The sequence below is a fragment of the Homo sapiens genome, chromosome 16 (genome assembly GCF_000001405.40).
Source record: "Homo sapiens chromosome 16, GRCh38.p14 Primary Assembly".
Classification (NCBI taxonomy): Eukaryota; Metazoa; Chordata; class Mammalia; order Primates; family Hominidae; genus Homo; species Homo sapiens.
In genome coordinates this window covers 89,635,198-89,641,739 of record NC_000016.10, presented here as the reverse complement: position 1 = coordinate 89,641,739, position 6,542 = coordinate 89,635,198, and the positions used below count along the sequence as shown (strand labels likewise).

The window sequence follows — 6,542 nt, the reverse complement described above, 5'->3', positions numbered from 1 at the left end:
CTTTGGTGTGAATTTAATGCAGTTAGGATTATTTTCAGACTAGGATTAAAGCTCTTCTCATGAGAAAATACTTGTGGGCGGCAAGCCACCCAGGTGCCAAGGCAAGAGACCGAGGGCGTGAGATGCTCCAGTATAATAAAAAAAAATATAAGAATAGTTATACTAGAAATAGATTATAGATAATATATGTTACTAATCATCAGTTTGTGGCATTACTCTTTATTCCAATATTATAATAATCCTTGCTCTACAATTATAACCTAGGACAAACCAGGCCATACAGAGACAGGAGCTGAAGGGGCACCGTGAGAAGCGACCACAAGATGAGCGTGAGCCCCCGTTACGCCCGGACAGGGCCACTAGAGGGCTCCTTGGTCTAGCGGTCACGTCAGTGCCTGGGGAAGGCACCCGTTACTTAGCAGAGCCGGAAAGGGAATCTCCCTTTCCCCGGGGGCGCGTTAGAAAAGACTCTGCTCCACCATCTCTTGTGGAAGATCTGACATCAGTCAACCCCCCCCCGCAGCCCTCCGGAGGCCTAACCGTCTCCCTGTGATGCTGTGTTTCAGCGGTCACGCTCCCAGTCCGCCTTCATGTTCCACCCAGTACGCCTGGCTCTGCCTTCTAGACAGCAGTAGCAGAATTAGTGAAAGTACTAAAGTCTTTGAAATGCATAGAAGAAATAATGGCGTAAGCTGTCCTCTCTCTCTCTCCGCCTCGGCTGCCAAACAGGGAAGGGCCCCCTGTCCAGTGGACACGTGACTCGCGTGACCTTATCAATCACTGGAGATGGCTCACACTCCTGACCCTGCCCCTTTTGCCTCGTATCCAATAAATAACAGTGCAGCCAGGCATTCGGGGCCACTACCGGTCTCCGCGTCCAGGTGGTAGTGGTCCCCTGGGCCCAGCTGTCTTTTCTTCTCTTTGTCTTGTGTCTTTATTTCTATGATCGCTCGTCTCCGTACACGAGGAGAAAAACCTACAGACCCTGTAGGACCCTACAAATACTGTTAATAAAATTAGGCCTAATACCCTTGCAGCCCACCAGGGACCCCCCGAGTCTCCAATCCCAGACGGAAAACGCCAGGCTGGGAGGGGAACAGACAGGATGATTATTGATAAGTGGATCCTGGATGATCAGCAGCCAGGCTGGGAGGGGAACAGACAGAACGATTATTGATAAGTGCATCCTGGAAGATCAGGACGCGTCCCTTCTGGAGGCTTCAGAGCCGCCTGCAGGGGCTGCTGCTCCATGGAAGGGCATGGACCCCGGAGCCCCCTGCTCCTCGACTCAGGGCCTCCAGCCAAGGCTTGGCTAGTGGGTAGTGAAGCCTCCCAGCAGCTCCCAGGGACCCTGCCTGCACCTCCGATGCTGTGGCCACCTCCACCCAGCCTTCTCCCTGCCAAGTCAGATCTGGAAGTGACCTGGGCCCAGTGGCTTCCCACTTCCTAACGGAAGCTGAGGGAGAACTACAGAGCCTGTGGGGGCTGTGAGGGCAGTCCCCTCACCCCCAGGGCCCTCCAGGGTGGGGCAGCAGCAGCGTGGGGGGTCCTGTCCTGCCCTGTGTGCATCTCAAGACGAACCCTTGGAGGCCCATATGGGAAGGCACTGAGCCCCAAGCTCCACCTAGGAGGACCTGGTGCTGGGCAGCTCACGCCTGGACCACGTCTGTCCCTGTGGTCGGCCTGGTTCTGCTGCCCACAGTGGGAGGGAGCCTGGGGGCCACGCCGATGCAGACCCTGCCTCCCCATTTACCAAAAGAGGCTGGGCTGGGCGCAGCAGCTCACGCCTGTAATCCCAGCACTTTGGGAGGCTGAGTGGGCGGATCACCTGAGGTCGGGGTTGGAAACCAGCCTGGCCAACATGGTGAAACCTCGTCTCTACTAAAATTAGCTGGGTGTGGTGGCGCACATCTGTAATCCCAGCTACTCAGGAGGCCGAGACAGGAGAATTACTTGAACCTGGGAGACGGAGGTTGCAGTGAGCTGAAATCATGCCACTGCACTCCAGCCTGGGTGACGGAGCGAGATTCCATCTCAAAAAAATGCTGGATGAAGAGAGTGGTTCTGCCAGTGCAGGTTCCTGGGCCCTTAGCCATGTTTACAGAATCAGAATGAGCAGGTGCAGGGGGTGTGCGTGCAGGGGTGGGGTTGCTCGTGCAGGGTTGTGGGGTGTGTGCAGGGTGTGGGGTGTGTGTGTGTGCAGAGGTGGGGGTGTGTGTGCAAGGATGAGGGTGTGTGCAGGGGTGGGATGTGAATGTGCAGGGGTGTGCGTGTGCAGGGGTGGGGTGTGCACAGGGTTGTGTGTGTGCAGGGGTGGTGTGTAGGGGTGGGGGTGTGTGCAGGGGTGGGGGTGTGTGCAGGGGTGGGGTGTGTGCAGGGGTGAGGTGTGTGCAGGGGTGGGGTATGTGAGCAGGGATGGGTTGTGTGTGCAGGGGTGGGGTGTGCAGGGGTGGGGTGTGTGCGTGCAGGGGTGGGGGTGTGTGTGCAGGGGTGCGGTGTGTGCGTGCAGGGGTGCGGTGTGTGCGTGCAGGGGTGGGGGTGTGTGCAGGGGTGGGGTGTGTGTGCGTGCAGGGATGGGGTGTGTGTGTGCAAGGATGAGGGTGTGTGCAGGGGTGGGATGTGAATGTGCAGGGGTGGGGGTGTGTGTGTGCAGGAATGGGGTGTGTGTGTGCAGGGGTGCGGTGGGTGTGTGCGTGCAGGGGTGGGGGGTGTGTGCGTGCAGGGGTGCGGTGTGTGTGTGTGTGCAGGGGTGGGGTGTGTGTGTGCAGGGGTGCGGTGTGTGTGTGTGCAGGGGTGGGGTATGTGTGTGTGTGCAGGGGTGCGGTGTGTGTGTGTGTGCAGGGGTGGGGTGTGTGTGTGTGCAGGGGTGGGGTGTGTGTGTGTGTGCAGGGGTGGGGTATGTGTGTGTGTGCAGGGGTGGGGTGTGTGTGTGCAGGGGTGGGGGGTGTGCGTGCAGGGGTGGGGTGTGTGCGTGCAGGGATGGGGTGTGTGTGTGTGCAGGGGTGCGGTGTGTGTGTGTGCAGGGGTGCGGTGTGTGTGTGTGTGTGCAGGGGTGGGGTGTGTGTGTGTGTGCAGGGGTGGGGTGTGTGCACCGGTGCATGGCTGGAGGTGACTACTGGAGCCTAGACTGTCCCTAAAGACGCTCAAGCAGTGTCTCTACAAAGCCCTTTTCACACCTCCTGAGCCCTTCTGGCCTGGACCGAAGACTCGATCCAGGATCACAGGAGTGCCCCACGTCCAACCAGGAGCCATTTTCACAAAACACCCCACCTCCTGAGCCGGATGCCGATGACACGTACCCCAGGATGTGAAGGGGTGTTGCTTTTATTGCGGGCCTACTGTGTGTGTGTCCTGAACTGTCCCCAGGCATCCTGCCCCCCAGGTAAGCCCAGGCGTCCTCTCAGGAGATGCTGGTCCTTGCATGTGGGCAGCAGGGCTCCTGGCATCTGGAGTCCTGGGATGGGCGGGTCTTCCCGGAGCTCCGGGAACCCTAAAGGGGACTCTGGTCTCCCAGGTTTCACAGGAGAGACAGACAGAGGACCAGGGGAGCGAGGGAGGCCAGCAGGAGCCCCCAGTGGCGATGGAGGCTGGAAGCCCCAGAGGAGTAGCCGTAATGGGTCCTGCAGGAGCCACCCAGCTGGTCCAGCGGGATGGGCTCCTCCTCGGGAGCCTGTGTGAGGTTGCTGGCCTGGGGACAGACAGACACGGGTGGGGCAGCCTGCCTGCTGGTGGTGGTGGGGGAGACTCAGGTGGCCACCCCATCCTCACCTGTTCCACAGCCTCGAAGACCCTCAGCAGGTTGTCAGCCAGTGCGCCCTTGACCTCCGCCTCCGTCCAGTTCCTCCTGAGCAGCTCAGCGATCAGGTCTGGATACTTGGAGACGTCCTCCAGCCCCTCAGGGACCCTGTGTTGAGGCCAGGAGAACCTGGGCCCCCACACTAGGACACAGGTCCCTCCTCCAGCCACCTCATCCCTCTGACGAGGCCATGAACCTCCCGGCTCATCCACAGGACAGAGCTCTCAGCCCCTTACCTTGGAACACCATCAAAGTCCCCACCAAAACCCACGGCTCTGGCTCCTGCCACCTCCTTGATGTGATCCAGATGGTCTGTCCAGGGAGCAGCAGGTATGGGTCCCGAGTGAGGCCCTCCCCCTTCGGCCCCCTTGGCCGCTCACACCCCACCTACCGGCCACTTGGGACAGGTTGGCCTTGTTGGTGCAGGAAATGTAATTGTTGTAGAAGTTCACCATCACCAGGCTGTCTGTCTGTTTCTGCACAAGAAGGAAGACAGGGTGAAGCTGAGAGCTGGGAGGGCCTGCCCAGGGAGGCGGGGTGGAGGTCGCCCCCTCGGCCCTCACCACCAGCCTCAGGACGTCGTCAGGCACGTTGCGCCGGCTTGCGCACACGCTGTAGGCCGAGGAGTGGCTGAAGATGACCGGGGCTCTGGACAGCTGCAGGGTGGCCTTCATGGTGGCCACAGACACGTGAGCCAAGTCGATGAGGACCCCCAGACGGTTCAGCTCCTTCACCACACGCTGGGAAGACAGGGCTCCGTCCACCCTCACAGCCCCCAGGGTCGGGGCTGCGGAGGTGGACGGGCTGGACCAGATGTGAGTCATCATCCTTCGTGGCTGGAAGTCCGGGGCCACTCAGGGCTCAGCACCCACCCTGGGGGGATGGCTGCCAGCTCCATTTTACAGACAAGGACACTGAGGTCCCACGTGAGGAGATGCATTGTTCTGGTCACCCTCCAGGGCCTCTGCCTTCTCCTCGGGGGTGACTGGCCGCTCCCACCCCACTCACCTGCCCAAAGGGTGACAAGCCTTGGCTCTGGGGCTCGCTGTCTCCCGTGTCCACCAGCCAGTTGTCAGCCCTGGAGAAGCAAAAGGCAGGTGCCCAAGAGGTGAGCGGTGGTCTCGGCCTCCCATCAGCCCAGCAGGCGAGGCCCGGCCTGGGACTCACAGGCAGAGGGGATGGGCTCTGGAGGGTGGCAGGGAGTGTCTGCCCCCTCCCTCCTGACCACAGCCCGGGGGCCTCCCATGGGGAGTCACGCACCAGGGCGTGTTGCAGCTGTGGGTGAGGGTCAGGTACCGCATGCCCAGCTGATAGAGTGCCCGCAGGACGCCCAAACTGCTGTCAATGGAGTGGCCGCCCTCCACGCCGATCAGGCTGGCCACCTTCCCTTCCCGGAAGGCCTGCCGAATGCCTGCGGGGAGAGTCAGGGTGCAGGGGAGTGGGCACCTGGTATCTGGAGGGTGAGGTGTCCTGACCGGCACCTGCTGCTCAGGATGAGGGCTGGGTGAGAAGACGCAGGACCTGGAGGACCCAGGTCAGGACCCCACCTGCACTGCTGGTGACATACAGGAAGGTCTCCGGGTACATCCGGCACATGCGGTGGACCACGTCCATCTGCTCCAGCGTCCTCCGCACGGCGTCTTTGTTCTGGGTGTCGCAGGGCGTGTACACGGACCAGAACTGTGGGCCGCAGGGGGTGCCAGGAGCTGATGCAGCCAGGTCTCAGCCCACCCCCCGCATGCCTGTGGGAGTCTGGTTTCCCACCCGCTGGGAAGCCCTCCCTCGGCCTGGGCACCGAGGGACCCTGGAGGAACACCACAGGGATGGTCCCACTGTAGCCAGGCCTGAGGTAGGAGACGGGATGACCCCACACAGGGCAAGCACAAGGCAGGGCAGGCGGTACCTGGCCTCCCACAAAGCCGGCCCTCAGCTTGGGGATGTTGGTGTGTGTGCCGGCCAAGGTGGTCAGGTTGGCCCTCTCGTCCTGCAGCCGGTTGTTGAACATATCCAGCAGCTGCCAGGGGAGGTCATTGTGCCTGGAGTTTGCCGGGGAGAGGCCAGGCAGTCAGGGCGGCCACTGGGACCTGGGGGCTTCCGAGCTCCTGGCCTCTGGGCTGCTCTCCCCACTTCCTACTCCTCACGACAGACGCAGGACTGAAGTCTAGGCCGCGGGGGTGACATATCACCGGCCACCTGAACACACCTGTGCAGGCTGCATTTCCCAACTGTGCCCACCCCCAGGGCAGGGAACCCCGAGCCAGGAGCTCAGGGAGCTGGGTAGCCCATCCCTTCCAGGGCCTTTTTCTGTGGAGGAGGCTGGGGGGCAGACACATTGTCTGAGGGTGGGACACAAGGAGCCAAATGACCTCAGTGGACAGGATTGGAGACGTGAGGGGCAAGGGCCTGGGGGTGATACTGTTTCTGAGAGTTTTCAGTTTAAAGATCAAATTGCCTCTTGGGGAATATGGTGGGTGGCTGGGTAATTGGAACGGCCTGACCTTGGGGGGCCTGGGACCCCCATCCTCCTGGGGAGCAGGGTGTCGAGTACAGGCTTTGGGGGCTACCCAGGCCTCTCTGCTGCCTCTGTCCCCAGGGAAGAGCCCTGCACCCAAACTCCAATCAGATCCTTCTAAACTTCCAAAGGACTGAAGTTCTCCAAGGTTTTCCCAGGAGCTGGTGGTGGTGAGGGTAGGAGCTCTCGTGAGGAAAAATGAGAAGGAAGGGGAAAGGAGAAGGAAGGGGAAAG

General features: G+C 60.9%; 1 protein-coding gene across 12 annotated transcripts in view; it reads right to left on the bottom strand.

The window, feature by feature from the left end:
• Nucleotides 1–199: 199 nt before the first annotated feature.
• The window catches only part of DPEP1 (dipeptidase 1), a 28,233-nt gene continuing 21,890 nt past the window's right edge, over nt 200–6,542 (bottom strand). For 9 of the 12 annotated variants that reach the window (NM_001128141.3, NM_001389466.1, NM_001389467.1 and 6 more), the window contains 9 exons: nt 5,700–5,832; nt 5,344–5,476; nt 5,057–5,207; nt 4,805–4,874; nt 4,360–4,536; nt 4,188–4,272; nt 4,033–4,108; nt 3,769–3,904; nt 3,307–3,688 (listed from right to left, as the gene is read on the bottom strand). In NM_001128141.3, the coding sequence (NP_001121613.1) occupies nt 3,518–3,688; nt 3,769–3,904; nt 4,033–4,108; nt 4,188–4,272; nt 4,360–4,536; nt 4,805–4,874; nt 5,057–5,207; nt 5,344–5,476; nt 5,700–5,832 (1,132 nt within the window). In that variant the 3' untranslated portion in view covers nt 3,307–3,517. Of the gene's footprint in view, nt 1,147–3,306; nt 3,689–3,768; nt 3,905–4,032; nt 4,109–4,187; nt 4,273–4,359; nt 4,537–4,804; nt 4,875–5,056; nt 5,208–5,343; nt 5,477–5,699; nt 5,833–6,542 lie in introns of those variants that run through there. The other 3 variants (NM_001389470.1, XM_047433691.1, NM_001389471.1) reach the window with 1 other exon arrangement.